Source organism: Homo sapiens, chromosome 8 (genome assembly GCF_000001405.40).
Source record: "Homo sapiens chromosome 8, GRCh38.p14 Primary Assembly".
In the NCBI taxonomy this organism is placed as follows: Eukaryota; Metazoa; Chordata; class Mammalia; order Primates; family Hominidae; genus Homo; species Homo sapiens.
Window position 1 is genome coordinate 100006153 of NC_000008.11, and position 18603 is coordinate 100024755.

The 18603-nt window shown below is 37.9% G+C and overlaps 1 protein-coding gene across 15 annotated transcripts in view; it reads right to left on the reverse strand.

Moving 5' to 3' along the window:
• RGS22 (regulator of G protein signaling 22) overlaps positions 1–18603 on the reverse strand; it is a 145114-nt gene that overhangs the window by 45217 nt on the left and 81294 nt on the right. For 13 of the 15 annotated variants that reach the window (NM_001286692.2, XM_017013310.3, XM_017013309.3 and 10 more), the window contains one exon: positions 2223–2417. In NM_001286692.2, the coding sequence (NP_001273621.1) occupies positions 2223–2417 (195 nt within the window). Of the gene's footprint in view, positions 1–2222; positions 2418–18336; positions 18400–18603 lie in introns of those variants that run through there. The other 2 variants (XM_011516959.4, XM_047421682.1) reach the window with 2 other exon arrangements.

Here is an 18603-nt window from a genome sequence, read left to right on the forward strand (position 1 = left end):
ATTTGCTAGTAACAGTGGGCTGAAAAACAAATACAGTTGCCAATAAAGGAAATTATTTTCAAAGCAAAAGCAGGAAGATAACATAGTTTAAAAGATTAGCTACAGCAGGGTCACACTTCAAAAGGATGCAATAAAAAATGCATACATTTCTATGTAATGATATAGTGCCACCAAAGATCATTCCTCCTTTCTGGAGGAATGTAAACTTACAAACAATGCAAATATATTAGTCACATTTCCAGCTTCTATTCAATATAACTTGATAATAGTCATGAAAGCAGATGCCACTAGCTTTAGGAACCAAATAATTCACAGAACAAGAAATGACCAGACTCCATGTTGTTATTAGTATGTGAGCAAAGGCTTTAATGCTGTAGTAAGAGAGGAGACCATCAATCATCAAATAAAACCTCATAGCAGGTCTCTGTCTTCAGAGTTTGTAATGTACTACTTCATATAGTCAGGAGAACAAGACCATTTTCTATTTCTCTATTGCAGGGGAAAATCAGCTTGGCTGAAGAGCTGCCTGAGAACTTTCTTTATTTAATAGCTAGCTTTGATAGTCTGCTGGGTTATTCTTTTTGGGAAAGAGTCTACAGAATACAGTCAGCTGATCTTTTAGATAAGTCCTCATACTTCCAGAAGGAAGTTTCTGGAACTAAGAGAGATTTATTTTTCCTCCTACTAAAAACTGTACAATTTGTTTCATCCATTTTATAAGAATCATGACTAATGCCGAAACTTTTTGGTTTAGGGAAGTTAGTTATAATTCCAAATCTTTTTTTTTTTAAAACCATTGCACCCTCTACGGCATACACTATATTTAAAATAATGACTGGAGAGAATTTTTTAAAACTTCATCTGATATCCAAATTTCCCTACTGTAATAAATGCATTTTTATAATAAAAAGGATACTAGGCTAATTTTTCAGGACAAAGAGAAATCTAATTATTTTGGTCATTGAACTTAGTAAATCATAATAGTTGTTTCAGTCACGATCCAATAAGGTAACTCTATCCAAGGTGTTTTGGTATTAATTTTGTATGACGATCTAAGAAGTTGTTGAGGAGATGTGAACAAAGAATAACAATGCAAAGGCAGCAGAGTTCCGCCTGAAATGACCTCAGGTACACAGTACATGCATTAACTTAATATAAACGTATACATAGATGGTTTTAATTTGTGATTCAAAGTAAATATTTAAATAAATTGCCTCCACCCGTTAATAAAATAGGGAAAATATTCAAGCATTGAGGCTTAAAATGACCTCTTTCAGGATGACAAAAGACATGCTGAAACTTGTATCCAGTCAAGCAGTCTGACCTGATGAACATCTGGGGGTACTTTAAAATAGAAGTACCAAAGTCAGAGGATCTGCTTTCCACAATACATATGAAACGTTTATGTTTTCCATAGGTGTAATATTAACTGAAACTCATCTAGCATAAAATGAAATAGGCTTTTCTGTTAATCAAAATTCAGGCCACTGCTGAAAACTAGCAAGAAGGGCATATTTACTTATTCACAGGAAACCAAAACTCAGATTTCTCTACTCTGACATACTTGTACGGAGAGCAAAAAATGACATAAAGTCTTTCGTTAGACAACAATAAGAAAACCGGCAAAAAAAAAAGAAAAAAAAAATCAAGTGATGCCACTGCACTCCAGCCTGGGTGACAGAGCGAGACTCTGACTCAAAAAAAAAAAAATTCAAGTGGGTAAATACTTTCCCTGCCCAAATTTTGAGGCTACCCAAATCTTAACTCTAAATCTTAGGGCCACGTGAGACCTTTTTCAGTTTTTCTCTTGCAAGTTAACAATGCTGCTTATCATCAGCAGTAAACCTAACAATTTTTTATTTTTATTTTTATTTTATTTTTTATTTTTTAATTTTTTTTTTTTAGACCGAGTTTTGCTCTTGGCATCCAGGCTGGAGTGCAATGGTGCGATCTTGGCTCACTGCAACCTCTACCTCCCAGGTTCAAGCAATTCTCCTGCCTCAGACTCCCAAGTAGCTGGGATTACAGGCGCCCACCACCACGCCTGGCTAATTTTTGTATTTTTAGTACAGATGGGTTTTCACCACGTTAGCTAGGCTGGTCTTGAACTCCTGACCTCAGGTGATCCACCCGCCTCGGCCTCCCAAAGTGCTGGGATAACAGGCGTCAGTATTGTAGTAAACCTGAATGGTTTCACACTCAATTTATCGGTGGCACGGTACCTTTTTATAAGCAATTTGGTCCGATTTTACCATCTTTGTCCATGGCTCAAGAAGGAGGAGAAGGATATATTCCTCTGCTGTGTCAAAAAGGTCTTCAAATGGTGGCTGTATTTTCATATAAATTTCTTTTTTCTTTTCCTGTTGGAGTCCAATGTCAAGAGTGGCAGAAGGAGCAACGTATGTGGCAAAAAGATACTGAAGGAGAAGAGGGAAGAAGGGAGAAGATGTTAAGAGAAGCCACAATGGTTAGCAGACACCTCAACATAGGCATTTTTTAAAAACTAAGAGAAGGCAAATAAGCCCACGTGATATTTTTCTTGAAAATATGGGTAAAACTACTTAACACGAAGCAATGCATCTATTCGAAAGACTTTGTTTTTCCTTTTGTTTTCCAATTTCTTCATCAGTAATTAGTCAATTTTTCTCAGATTACAAAAATCTGAGGAAGCACTAAATATTATTATGGTAAATTTGAGTTTATGTGCCTCTTTTTTTTCCTTTATCTTCACAACATTTCTAAAACACTTGTGTTACTTTCCAAAGTGGCTTGAAATACTTTTTTTTGGAAACAAGTGGCAAGAATACACTAGGACTAAAAAGCTGGCTATTAGTCTTCTGGAGACCCAACAGACTACCAGCCCTACCAAATTGAGCTGCAGAGTTCTTAAGACTGTTGCTAATTACCCCTTTCTGCCATTAAGTCTTTCCATCTGGTATCCAATGCTGTGGAAGACATAAAGAAAAGCATAAGAGCGAATGGAGGCCAGGTGCAGTGGCTCATGCCTGCAATCCCAGCACTTTGGGAGGCCAAGGCGGGTGGATCGCTTGAGGTCAGGAGTTCAAGATGAGCCTGGCCAATATGGTGAACCCCCATCTCTACTAAAAATACAAAAATTAGCCAGGCGTGATGGTGCACACCTGTAATCACAGCTACTTAGGAGGTTGAGGCAGAAGTAATTGCTTGAACCCGGGCGGCAGAGATTGCGGTGGCCCAAGATCAAGATCATGCCACTGCACTCCAGCCTGGGTGACAAAGTGAGACTCCACCTCAAAAAAAAAAAAAAAAAAAAGAGTGAATGGAAAGATATACATAGAACCTCCAGCAAACCTGCCACAAATATCTGTTCCATTCTACTAATTGTCATGTCTCTCAATAATAGTTATGTATATCTGAGAAGCAATTTAATAACATTTTGTTTAAAAAATGTTTGCATACTGGATATGTCATGCCCTGACATTTTAAATCAAGTTTTACTAAAAATCTCTAGTTAACTTATACTTTATTTCAATTTTATTTCATATACTTAGAATTTGAAACTGATAATATCTAGATCAACTCAGAATAGACAGATACAGATATAAATTTGTACCAAACAGCAAGTAATAGTCTTATTTAAAATAATCTTTTAAGACTTAAAGGGTCCATGTTAACAACAGAAGCATTTACTGAGTACTCCATCTACTGCATCTTAGACACCTGGCTAGGTGCTATGTATGTAAAGATTAATGAACAAGAGTCAATGCCTATTCTGAAGAAGCCAATTTGGTGGTGACATGGAGATGAATATCAATGGTTATAATACAGGACGGTAAGTGCTATAAGAGAGGTATGTATTATAAATAAGATCTTTAATGATTCTTTTAAGCTCATCTCCCATTAATCATCTTTCAAATTTTACATTCAAATACAAAGTTTCTATAATTTCCCTAAGTCTTGCTATTTTGCCATTTCATACCATTGCACATATTGTTCCTTCCATCTTGGATGTCTACACTACCCCACATACCTTGTCTGCTTGATAAACTAATTTAGAGTTTAAAACCAACATAAGGCCAGGCACAGTGGCTCACACCTGTAATCCCAGCACTTTGGGAGGCCGAGGCGGGCACATCACGAGGTCAAGAGATCGAGACCATCCTGGCCAACATGGTGAAACCCCATCTCTACCAAAAATACACAAATTAGCTGGGCACGGTGGTGGGCGCCTGTAGTCCCAGCTACTCAGGAGGCTGAGGCATGAAAATCGCTTGAACCCAGGAGGCGGAGGTTGCAGTGAGCCAAGATTGTGCCACTGCACTGCAGCCTGGCAACAGAGTGAGACTCCGTCTAAAAAAATAAAAAACCAACATGGATTTCCCCTCCTCTAGGAAGCTTTCACTCACATTCTCCCCCAACAATCACAATTTCTGCTGCTATGCCTGTCACTCTATAATGCAGTTATGTATTTATGTGTCTTCTCTTCTAGACTGAGATCCTTGAGGGCAAAGACTGTAGCTTATTCACTGGTGTATCTCCAATTCCTAGAACTGTTCTTGGCAGACAGTAGATGCCATAAACATTTATTAAATTTTCCAAATCCCTAGAAAAGACTCATTTATGTATTGGACTAGGGAAGGAAAGAATTCTAGAAACTCTTCAGAGAGAAGATAATTCTTTTTTTTTTTTTTTTAAAGAGATGGGGTCTTGCTATGTTGCTCAGGCTAATCTCGAACTCCTGGGCTCAAGCAATCTGCCCACCTTGACATCCCAAAGAGCTGGAATTAACAGGTGTGAGCCACCATGCCTGGCCTCCAGAAGATAACTGTTAAGCTGAATCTCTAAAGATAAGTTGGAGTCAATAATCGCACAATAGAGGAGGGTTGATGAAAGACGGCCCAAGCAGAAGCAAAACACAGGTCAATGCATGGAGGCCTATGGGAGCTTTAAAACCTATGGAGGGATTTTAGGCTTCAAGTAGGTAACACTGGCTAAAGGAAAGAGGTGAATAAGAGAAGATACTTTAAAGGGAGGCAGAGACCAGAGCATGAATATGATCTTTTATCCTTTGTTAAGGAATTTGAATTTTTACTTAAAGATATAATGGGGAATCTTTGAAGGATTTTAACTGAGGAGTGACGTCATTGGATGTGATAGTTTGAGTAAGATCAATATTTGAGGCAGTTTGGAAGTTATTTCAATAGCTAGACAAGAAATTATATGCCACCTTCACCTCTTGCTTGCTTTTTTGCAGTAGCCTCTTAACTGGTCTTCCCAGACTCCTCTTGGCTTTCTTACAGTCTATTCTTACCACAGCAGACAGAAAAATCCTTTTGTGCAGCAGTCCTCTGCTCAAACTCTCTAGCAGCTTCCCATCTCACACATAATAAAAGTCAAAATCCTTATAATTACCTATAAATGGAGTTTTTGGAAGTCTCGCAATGATGAGGAGACAAGGATTATAGTTCAGGACCTGTCAGTGGGGAAGTCCCTGTAAACATCCTAAGCTCTCAAAACACCCTGAGAGCAGGAATGGACTAGATACTGACTCCAGCCTCGAGTTTTTAATGTGCCAAAAGAAAATAACTGCCAACATATAATTCTATGTCTAGCAAAAACACCCTTCCAAAATAAAAACAAAATAAAGATGTTATAAATCAGCAGACAAAAAAAGAGACTTCATCACCAGCAGACCTGTACTAAATGAAATATTAAATGGAGGCTCTAGACAAAAGCAGGATGGACTCAAAAACAATGGAAAGTACAAATATGTGGGTAAATATCAATAAATACTTATTGCAAAATAAAATGATAATAACGAATAAAGTCAGAAGAAATAGTAAAAGAACCTGAGAAATAGAAGTCAGAGAGATAAGAGGTAAACCAAGTCAGAGTAATGCTACAGAAGCCAAATGAAGAGTTAGCTTAAAGACAGGAGACAGCAATAAATGGTGTTAATAATATATATTATATATATATATGTAAAGACATTAAAGCAACCAAAGAATCAAAGGTGCTGGTTAAAGTGCAATTGAAATGCTCTACTGTGAGGTCCATGACACGCAGGAAAGCAAACGAGGTCAAAATCAGGGTAGTGATACAGTAATTTGCAGGGTAGAGTATCAAAGAACCAGTGATTAAGATAAGGGAGAAGGGCATGTAGAGTAGTTAAAAGGGAATACTAAAGTTCAGAATATAATAGGCATTCAATAGATATTTGCTGAGTATATAAATAAGAGATGAGTGGCTTAAAGAGCAACAGTGATTTGAAAGGGAAATTTCACAGGTCAAGAATTTAAAGCTGGCAGGGTGTGGTAGCTCATTCCTGTAGTTTCAACATTTTGGGAGGCCAAGGTGGGAGAATCACTTGAGGCCAGGAGTTCGAGATTACAGTGAAATATGATGGTGCCACCGTACTCCAGACTGGGTGACAAGAGTGAGGAGAGAGACAAAGAGGGAGAGACAGTGAGAGAGAGAGAAAGAAAAGAAAGAAACAGAGAGAGAGAGAGAGTTTTTGAAAGTAAACTAAAATAATGTCTTAGGTAAATTACGAAACTAAAGATTAAAATTATCAAATTAACAACATTTAAAAATGTAGGATTTGCTCCAATAATTCCAAATTCACTTCAAGGAAAAGAAAATTTAACAGCCTAAATTACTTACATTAAAAATCAGTAGTCAGGCTAAATTAGGGGAGAAATATTTTTTTGAAATATGCTTTTTTCTTTTGCAATTCAAAACTATAGTTTAAAAAGATCTGATGTGCTACATATCAAATTCTCATATGTTGAGCATTCTGGTTAGTAAAAGAAAAGTTCTCATATAGAAATCAGGATAACGCCTTTGATTTTTTTTTTTTTTTTTTTTTTTTTGAGACGGAGTCAGTCTCGCTTTATCACCCAGGCTGGAGTGCAGTGGCGTAATCTCGGCTCACTGCAAGCTCCGCCTCTTGGGTTCATGCCATTCTCCTGCTTCAGCCTCCCGAGTAGCTGGGACTACAGGTGTCCACCACCACGCCCAGCTAATTTTTTGTATTTTTAGTAGAGATGGGGTTTCACCATGTTAGCCAGGATGGTCTCAAAATCCTGACCTCGTGATCCGCCCGCCTCGGCCTCCCAAAGTGCTTGGATTACAGGTGTAAGCCATCGCGCCTGGCCTGATTTCTTTTTTTAAATGAGAACAGAGAAGAGGGTAAAGTAGGAAAGAAGTTGAAATGGTGGCTAGGATAACAATGACAGCTGTTAGGATTGTCAGCCTTTGGTGGATGCCTACATCTATTTCCCTTCTCTTTTACTCTCAGTCTTGCCTTTACTCTTTCTGTTTTAAGATTTAGTGCTACTCTAAGTTCCATGAGATTATCTACGTGTGATTTAGATAGTCTACTACTATATCTATACTATGGTGGACACTTCATGATGCCCTGTTGAAGCTAAGTTTCTGTATATGATTGTATCCAATTGCCTTGGGCTTTTTACCTTCTTAAATTTTGCTTTATGGTTTTCTTCAAAATAAGTTTCTCTTTATTTTACCACTTACCATATTAGTAGAACAACTTCCTCTCTCTGACCATACTTTTCATCTATTTGTATCTCCTCACCAAGCTTTTCTTCACCTTCAGCACAATCTGAAGGTTATTCTCGTCCTCTAAATAAATCATGCACCAGCTGCTTTATCTTACTTTCTTACACAATTGGGACTGAGAACTGTCCATTATTTCAACTATACTCTTACCAACATCCCTAATTCCTCCCCACTGTATCCTCAAGTTCCTACTAAAAACATAATGACTGACTCCATTATAGACTTCAAAAAAAACTTAGCTGCAATCAAAAAGTTTGTTACATTTTTGCTTATTTCTAATCAATGCCATTTCCCATTTTAAAACTGCCATCCTCTTTAATGCTCCCAACTGTATTCTTACACTTCTTCACTTTCAGTAGACTTTATCTTCCACATAACTGGGAAAAACCACTGGTATAAATGCCCTCAACTTTCCTCTCAAGAGCTCTCTTTTAAATCTTTTTGTTTCTCTGATGTCTCAAAGACATCTTTCCAATCCTAAGCCATTCAGGTGTGCTCGACCATGTTCCTCCAGAGCCTGTAACACCAATTATTTTCTTAGTGCCTTGTTTCTTTAATCTACCTCTCCACTGATTCCATTTCCTTCTTTATGCTACAAAGTTGTTGAAATCTAGTGCCTCTCTCATTCTAAAACGTTTTTCCTGACTCTGTTTTGCCACCTACTTCTTACACTACTTCTCTCTTCCCTCTCTCTACAAGTCTCCATAGTCACTCCTCAATCTATGGAAGTCTGGCTTCCATGCCAATGACAATGAACTCAAAGATCACTAAAAACCACATAATCGCCAATTCAATAGCTTCTTTCCTTAATCTTCATTCAACCTGATCCCTTATGCAGCTTTAATACTGCTTATTATCTCCTCTCTCCTTGACTCTCTTTCCTCTGACTTCGCCAACCCTTTCTCTTGATTCTATGCCAATTTCCGCTTCTTCTCAGGCTCTTTGCTGATTCCTTTTCCTCCATTCCTCCCTTAAAAGATGACACTCACTAAAGTTCTATGCTCAACTACACCTTCTCAGTTCATGCCCCTACAGTTTCTCACATGAGCCAAGCACTCCCTCACAGGATTTTTGTACTCTGCACTCTATCCCTTCTATGCTCTCTACCCTCATCTTCTTTTCCCCTTTCACTGAGCTTCTATTCATCCTAAAGACTCAGCTTCCTTGGCTCCTGAAGTCTGGCTTAAGAATCCATCCTGTGTGTTCCCATGGACCCTGTACTTTTATGTTTTTCCCATTGGACCCTACATTCTACAAAGACAGAGACTGGGTCTACTTTGTTTATTACTGTATCCCTAGCATCTGGCATAATGTGAAATTTAGAATGAGTGGATGAATGGAAGACTTCATCTAGCCCCAAAAATTTAACAATCAATGTGGAAGAACTCCATATATTAATACTAATAGTTTTAGACCTGATTTCTTCCCTGAACTCAAAACCTTTGCTTCTAGCAGCCTACTTTGTTATAGCTACATGAATATCTTCCAGACCCTCAATGACTCAATAATATAGCAAATTATCCTTTCCTAACTTCTAAAGCCTCTCCCTTCCTCCTGTGTTTCCAGTTTTCTTTTCTTTTCTTTCTTTCTTTCTTCTTGAGATGGAGTCTTGCTTTGTCACCCAGGCTGGAGTGCAGTGGCATGATCTCAACTCACTGCAACCTCTGCCTGCCAGGTTCAAGCGATTCTTGTGTGTCAGCCTCCTGAGTAGCTGGGACCACAGGCATTCACCACCACGCCAGGCTAATTTTTGTATTTTTCGTAGAGACAGGGTTTCACCATGTCAGCCAGGCTGGTCTTGAGCTCCTGATCTCAAGTAATCTGCCTGCCTTGGCCTCCCAAAGTTCTGGGATTACAAGTGTGAGCCACCATGCCTGGCCTCCAGTTTTCATTAATAATATACCATTCATAGTATAATTTTTGACTCTTCCCTGCACTCCCCTTTTTTATTCTCTAATGCAAATCCTATGAATTTAATCTCTCCAATGAAACAAGGAGAAACTAACAAAAACAAATATCAGGAGGAAATAAGTAGCATAACTTCCATCTCAAGAAACATCATAAAACTCAGTTTTCTGACCAAGCAAGGCCAGACCTTTCCCAGGTTACTGTCTGCTACCTTTCTTCCTGACCTCACACTCATATTTTGCTCTAGCCACGGGGATTCATGCATATTATTTAGCTACAGAGTCTGCAGTCTCTAGGAGCTATATAATTGGGACAGTCATGTGTCCCTACTCTGGTCTAAGCCTACTGTCTTGGCATAATTATTAATAGTTTCATTCTGAAAAGTATCTGGGTTTAGATGATAAATTATATGGTTCCTCTATATTTAATTGTCATCAGTTAGATAAATTCTGAAGTTTCTCTAAAACAAGACTCCTAGAAACACTTGACACATATTTAAAGCTGAAAATAACGCAAAGAAAAGCAGATGTTAGGTGATAAGAAACAGACATTTGTCTAATTCTCAGTCATATTAATTGAATAGCTATACTCGAATGCCAACATCTCAAACCAAGAATATACAATTTAGAACTTGGGTTGACGCTTCATAGACTTCCCTGTTAAAAATAAATAAACTAGAGAGCAGAGGGGAGGAAAAAAGAAATGAACTAAACGATTGCACCTAAATGTAGGTATTAATTTGCCCTTCCACTTTTTTTTCTTTTGCTTCCTCACCACGTTTATTGAATTATTGTCACCCAAACAATTTCTCTTTGTTCAAGAATATCAACCCCCATCTGACAACCAGCATAATCCTTAAGAATAATACACTCTCCTGCTGGGTGTGGTGACTCACACCTGTAACCCCAGCACTTTGGGAGGCTGAGGCAGGCAGATCACGAGGTCAGGAGATCGAGACCATCCTGGCTAACATGGTGAAACCCTGTCTCTACTAAAAATACAAAAAATTAGCCGGGCATGGTGGCAGGCGCCTGTAGTCCCAGCTGCTCAGGAGGCTGAGGTAGGAGAATGGCGTGAACCCGGGAGGCGGAGCTTGCAGTGAGCCAAGATTGGGCCACTGCATTCCAGCCTGGGCGACAGAGCAAGACTCCGTCTCAAAAAAATAAGTAAATTAATAATAATATACCTAATGCTAAATGACAAGTTACTGGGTTCAGCACACCAACATGGCACATGTATACATATGTAACTAACCTGCACGTTGTGCACATGTAACCTAAAACTTAAAGTATAATTTAAATAAATAAATATTAATAATAATAATACACTCTCCCTACATCCCTGATTCCTTACCAGTCTTTTTTTTTTTTTTTTTTTTTTTTTTTTTTTTTTTTTTAAACAGGGGCTTGCTCTGTCACCCACGCTGAAGGACAGTGGTGTGATCTTGGCTCACTGAAACCTCTGCCTCCTGGGCTCAAGCAATCCTCTTGTCAACTTTCATCACCATGCTCCACTAATTTTTAAAAAATATTTTGTAGAGACAAGGTCTCATTATATTGCCCAGGCTGGTCTCAAACTCCTAGGCTCAAGTGATCCTTCCCTCTTGGCTTCTTGGCCTCCCAAAGTACTGGGATTACAAGCATGAGCCACCATGCCCAGTCCTTTATTGAAAAATCACAGAACTGGAAGCATTAAAAAGGGGCTTGTGAGGTCATCCAATCCATGGCATCCCAAGCCTACATTACACACATTTGTTGTCTTTTGTTGAAGTTGTCTCTGCTGTTCCTCACCTCCCCAGGATGGTAGGGACACAGGTGGTTAAGAGAGTAAGGATGAGAAAACTGAATTCAGTTTGTCAATCCTTTATTAGCCCATACAATAAAATTATAGTACATTTAAACTGAATTATGGAACTAAAATCTGAAGATGTCTTTCTAATAATCCAAGGCAATCTGTAAGTGGATAACTAACAACTGAGTATATATATATATAGCAAATACAAGATATTGTAATTGTATATTTAAAACAAAAGTTTAAAAAGCTAAACAACACACTTAAAATCTTTATAAAGATGATAAAATCATTTTAAGTTGATATAAATTGACTTTAAGATGAAACGTAAAGATTATACTATATGATATATAAATAATATAGTCTGATTATGGGTTAGAAACATTGTTTAAATATCCAAATCATTTGCTTTTTTACTGGCCGCCCAGTTCTTCCTTTCTAGCCACAGAGTAAATAACAATGTAGCTCATGTTAGAGAAGAAAATGCTCCCTTCATATTCCAGTCAGCTACTCTGATTCACATTCAAGCAGAGATTCACTCACACACAGCTGTGGCCAACATGAGTCCAATTTAAACATTAACCTATGATGCTTTAACAACCCAGCAGGAAAGTTTTTGAGAAGGGATACAAGCACTGCCTGTCTGTGATCAAACTGCCTGGCACTGCACACAACATGGCTCTAAGCCTCATCTCTCCTGGAGACACTCAAAGGTTATGTAATCAGGAAATGCACAATGTGCTGCTTTCCCCGCACCTCTCTACACCTGTGCCTGTGACTCACTTTCTTGGCATCTGTATCAAAAAAAAAAAAAAAAAGTAATGCCTGCCCCTAAAAAATCTTTTACAGTACTGAAATTCTGGGAGTTAATTTTCTAGCCTAACTGAACTGTCAATATTACTCGAGAGTTAACAAGACTAGCAAGAAAAAAGATGTAGGATGGATACCATGAGACAGAAGGAAGAGCTGAATTGGAGAGCAGAAAAAAGAATGGAGAAAAAAATTAGAATAAATGAAGACACACACACACACACACAAAAGAGGGTAGGGGAAGAAAATCTATATTTTGATTAATGTTTTGCTTTCTAAATAGCGTTAAAATGAAGAACAATGTTTAATTTATTCTTAATACATATTAATTTGCTGACATTGTTGGGGGAAAAAGTGAACAAATATTCCTGTTTGCATCTTCAAGGAAATCTCAGCTGCTTCATTAATTAGAGACAATATCCTCTATATAATACCTGCATTGTACTATTAATACACATGAGATAGCTCAAACGATTTAAAATACGACATTTCCCATTGCAATTTATATTTTTCCAACATTATGATATTTTTCATGCAAGATTTCCGCACCACTTAATAGTTTCCAAAATCATTTTGAAATTGTGTGTTTATAAGCATATTCTTGGATAGAAGTGAATCCCCATCTCCTTTCAAATGTATCATAATGCATGCCAGACTTACTTTTCCCACATTAATGTTTTCTTATTGAAGATAAGGTCTAGATAAACATACCTGAGAAATGAAAATTGTGTGTTTATTGAATTTATTGTTTTTAACAATGTCAAAAGCAAAAAAAAAAAAATGGAAATGTTTTCCACAACTGTCTGTACTATTTGGATTTCTCTTTGTATCAAAGGCTAAATGATGACAGCTATGGGATTAGATTCCAATTAGCATACTGTAGAAGCACCCAGCAAAGTATTCTCACTGTGCCAAAGGTGAGCACAGGCTTTGGGAAGGCATCTTTTCCATAAGTAGGGGCCATTTGATGAGCTACAGCTTGACACTTATCTGCGTTCCAATGAAAACAAGAACAATTTCTCTGCAGCCTTAAAAGGCAAAGTCAGAAATAATACCAAATGTTGTAACACATGTGTTGATTTGTTATGTTACATTTCAGCTGTTAGTTATGTTAATGGAACAGTTTCACATACTTCGTTTTGATGTATTTATTTTAATGATCATGTGTATGTATCTTGCTATGATTGCCTGGTAACACTGATTACCTGATGTTCTGCTGTCACCACCAGGCCAGGACTGGAAGTAAGAAAGTGAAATGTAAAACTTTGGAACTGTATGACTTAAAATGAGTCCCTCAGTACATAAAGAATAAAATGTATTCAAAACCTATGTACTGTGAGATCTTAATACTAGTTGACAGCACATCTCGTAGAGCGTATCACCAGATTAACTAAAATTGATGACATTTTAAAAGTAGACTTCCAATATCGTATTCCAGAGATTAGGAGAAAACATTCATGCTTCAGCATTTTGTATCACTAATAAGTCCCTTTTTTTTAGACCCATTACTCGACTAAAAAGTAAAAGAGGGAATTCTAATCATGTAATTAGTAAGGCAGCAGAAGGCATTTTAATATGTATCTTTCACATTCTTCTCACAATTTTCCAAGATGCTCACCAAGACAGTATAAGAACTATAAAACCATCTGCTGTTGCAAAAAAAGTACTTTTTTTTTTTTTTAGATGGAGTTTCACTCTTGTTGCCCAGGCTGGAGTGCAATGGTGCAATCTCGGCTCACCGCAACCTCCGTCTCCCAGGTTCAAGCAATTCTCCTGCCTCAGCCTCCTGAGTAGCTGGAATTACAGGCACCTGCCACCACGCCCAGCTAATTTTGTATTTTTAGTAGCAATGAAGTTTCTCCATGTTGGTCAGGCTGGTCTCTAACTCCCGAACTCAGGTGATCCACCCGCCTCGGCCTCCCAAAGTGCTGGGATTACAGGTGTGAGCCACCACGCCCGGCCGCAATTTTCTTCTCCTTACCATCAGGTAGCACTAAGGTTCTGCCTGATGGACTGACAGGGTGGTATTAGCAAAGACCTAGCCAGCCGCTAGGAAAAAGAGATATTCCACAAAAGCCATGGCACTATTTCATACACTCTAAAGACAAAAGAAGAAAAAGCCTTTGGCTACTGAAATATACAAAGCTTTTTCATAAGCTCCTTCATGAAGTTCACAGTAAACTGTGCAGGACCTGGTGATTCTGGAGGAGAGATTATGTGCCTTCTTTGGTAAGCATAAGTGAGTGGTTCATAAGCACTCTCCAAAAGGTGGAAGAAATTTTTTAAAGGTGAAGAGTCAGGATCTCCAGCTGTAACATTAGAGAAAAAATGGAGAGGATTCACAGTGATGCTTTTCTTGTTATTACTTCTCTTCCTCCCTTATAAGCAATGGTTTACTGGAGCCAGCTTGTACCAGCTCACAAGAGCCGATTCATAAACATTCAGGAATTTTGTGAGTCAGTTGTTAAACTCTGTCATTACCAAAAATTAAATCACATAAACTTACAATTAAAGAAATTATGATTCAAGTCCAAAGGCCTCAGGAAAAAAAGAAGTTATATTAAAAACAAAAATAATGACTACTCAAAACTCATTACTTCTTGTTGATTTTACTGTTTTGCGATTAATATTACCCATGGTCTTGAGGTGTATCTGTATGGGGGAAATATTATATGATGGGGTGCTACTGCACATCTCTTCCCAACTCTGCATTCAGTGACGTCACTTTGGCAGCTTGAAATCATCCATGGTGAGAGTATACCCAGAGATCAGCAAATGCTACAAATCAGGGCTGCTTTTTCCCCTAGAGATCTGGTTGTTAAACATTTCTCATCATAGCACTGATTATAAGGCAAATATACTTCTCTTCCTATCATGATCACTAAAGAAAGAGAAATAAAGTAGGAAAAAACAAATGACACCAGCTACTTCAAATATTTACTGGCAGCAAAGCTACATACCAGTATATACCAAGTCACACCAGAATATGCCAATTTATAACAGTTTACTTACATACTCTGTTTAACAGACATCCATTTAAAAAAATATACAGTAAAGGCCCTGTTAATAGTTAGAGTAAAGCTGAACCAGAAGAGGAGGGTCAACAGCTTTTCTTTAAAATTGTTTGTTTACATTCTGAATAGTCCTTATTTAGAAAAGGTCAAAACTAAGCTTCAAATATTACATTTATCCTCAGTCTGATAAATTAATCAGAAGAGGTAAGAGTTTAGTGGGGAAAATCTTATTAGCTTGGCCTGATGAGAAAGTACAAGGAACATATTTGAAGAGGAAACATTAAAGCATTATGAGAAATAGAAATGGTACTAATGGATCTTGATTCAGTGTCTGGACCCCAAAGAGACCAAAATCACTTCACAGATCATCTTAAACACAACAGAACAGATGTCCACTAAACTGTAACAACAACAAAGAAACCATATTGCTGTATGTGATGGCAAATAGCAAAGTAACATGGGATCTGCTCAACTGGGCTCAATAACTCTATGCTTGGACTTTATATAAAACAATGAGATGAACTGTGCTCCAAGAAGCTAAGGGTGAAAAAAAAAAAAAGAGTCCCCAGAGGTGTTTATAAAAGAAATATAAATGCTGTGATACAGGATACTTTCAGAAATCACAAAATATTTACTTCAGCAAAAAGAGAAGTCTGTTTTCATAACCATTCACAGCTCTAGCAGGCATAGAACATTATTATCTGAGTTCATATGCGGCAGAAAAAGAAAATAACAAGCAAGTTCAAGCAATCCAATCTTTTTTTCTGCAAAAGGAGGAAAAAATGATGATTTTTAATGACCTCTCATATCCCACTAGGAGCTCAAAAACATTACTGAGGAGCTATGCCGAGAGCGACTAAATTACAGATGGAGCTTTTCACAGATGGATTTTCATGTGAAGGACCTTGGGTTTTTCAAACAGGAATCTTAAAGATGGGATCTAGGGATTGCAACGTCTTGATACCAAGAGGCAAACTACTGCAGAGATCAACACAAGATGGACTTGTACGAAAAAAGATAATGATGACAAACTAGAATTTTTGCCAATTGCTCAGACCCTACTAAAGAGAATTCAAAGCAAATGAGAGCCTAAGAAAATGCCAATAGGATAAAACAGTAAAACAATTTGAATCATTTGGGACAGAGTAAAAAATCAGAAGGGGAAAATAGAACGTGTTAAGAAAAGACGAGAACAAACCAGGGACAAAAAAGGCTAGGTTTTTAAGATAGATTTGGGTCATTGCTTAAGACATTTTAAGTAAAATCAGTTGAGTGCATGATGAAATAAAATAAACAAGCACACAGAAAAAAAAGTTATTACTATGCAGTTTAAGGCAATCTAAGGAACAAATAAAGGTTTTATTTTATAAATTTTTGGATTTGTTTTTTAAAAAACCTTTAACTGACAAAAGCAAGATATACATTTAAACTAATGGAATTATTTAACTTCTATTAATAAATAATTTCTTGGAAATCAGTGAACAAAAAAATTCAATTAAATTAATTAATTAATTTATTTATTTATTTTTAAATAGGGTCTCACTATGTTACCCAGGTTGGAGTGCAGTGGCGCAGTCTCAGCTGACTGCAACCTCCTAGGCTCAAGCCTAGCCTCCCGAGTAGCTGGGACTACAGGTGCACACCACCAAACCAGGCTAATTTTTGTATTTTTTTTGTAGAGATAGGGTTTTGTTATGCTGCCCAGGCTGGTCTCGAACTCCTAGGCTCAAGTGATCTACGTGCCTTGGCCTCCCAAAATGCTGAGATAAATAATTCAATTTTAAAAACATGATTATATTAAAATTTCTGGCTTGGGAAAAAAAACAAACCTGTTTCACCAGTATGATAATCTATGCTAACAAAGCACACAGGACTGATACATGAAACCAGAGTATCAAGTGATTGCTGTACAATGAAAAATGAGAAAATCAACCATCATTAAGGTTGTAGGTCTATGTTTACCAGCACACCATCTTGGAAAACAAGTTTACATAGTCAGAATAAGTGAAGGTAACTGTATGAACCCTATGAATATTCTCTCCATCAAAATCTTTCAGGCTGACTAGATACAAGGAGCAGACAGCTTAGGACAGTACTTCAAGGGCATGTCAAGGTCTGCCTCTGAGACACTACACCTTCTGGGATGCCACTGCCAAACAATGTCTCTTCATGAGTGAAACATTCTTTCTTTTTCTGTTTTTCTAAGAGCTAGGGTCTCACTCTGTTGCCAATGCCAGACTGCAGCTGGAATACACTGGTGCACTCATAGCTCACTGCAGCCTCCAATTCCTGGGCTCAAGTGATCTTCCTGTTTCAGCCTCCCAAGTAGCTGGGACTACAAGCACGGGCCACCACACCTGGCTAATTTTTTTAATTTTTTGTAGAAATAGGGCCTCACCACGTTGTTCATGCTGATCTTGAACTCCTGGGGTCAAGTGATCTTCCCAGCTCAGCCTCCCAAATGCTGGGATTATAGGTGCGAGCCACTGTGCCTGGCCTGGAAAATTCTTTCTTTACATGTGCTGGCATCTTCATTACAAATCTTGCAGGCCTGTGAAGCCTTTTTGTCTCTAGTCAGCTGCTCATATCTGTTCTGATTTATTACACATTCATTTCCTAGTTCAAATTTCAAAAAGCAACCATATTTTTAGGTTCCTTGGGTGAAGTGGGAGGGGACAGGGAGATTTCATTGCTGCTCCAATACAATTTATTAAGAGCTCCCTTTTTTTGTTGTTTTTTGTTTTTTTCCAAGAAAGAGTCTTGCTTTGTCGCCCAGGCTGGAGTGCAGTGGCGCAATCTTGGCTCACTGCAACCTCCACCACCCGGGTTCAAGCAATTCTCCTGCCTCAGCCCGCTGAGTAGCTGGGATTATAGGCGAGCGCCACCACGCCCGGCTAATTTTTGTATTTTTAGTAGAGATGGGTTTCACTATGTTGGCCAGGCTGGTCTCGAACTCCTGACCTCGTGATCCACCCACCTTGGCCTTCCAAAGTGCTGGGATTACAGGTGTGAGCCACCAAGCCCAGCCAAGAGCAAACTGGAAAGACAGAATGTTGATCATTGCTGAAGCTTAGTGAAGGTATATGGGGGCTCATTAAACTGTTTTCACATAAAATTTTTCTTAAAAAAATAAAAACACTCAGCTGGCTGTCATTTCCAAATAATGACTATCTTTCATTAGGTTTATAATACGTTGCTACAAATATAAACATGCCAATGAGTTCATGAATTTTTTCAATACCTATCACAGCACCTTTTATATGGCACCTTCAGTCCTGAGCATACAAGGTAAACAGAGCAGACTGTCTTCATGGACCTACAGTCTCACGGAGAAAAAAAATATTAAAGGTGATGTTTGACATTTAATGTTCATAAAGATAGTTTAAGATATTAAAGTGAAAGATTAAACAAGGTGATAAACAGATACTCTTTTTTCTAGAGATAATAATAAGAAAGCAATGGCTTAGAAGTTAAGAGTATAGGGTCTGGAGTCAGAATACTTGGTACTAATTCCAAGTTC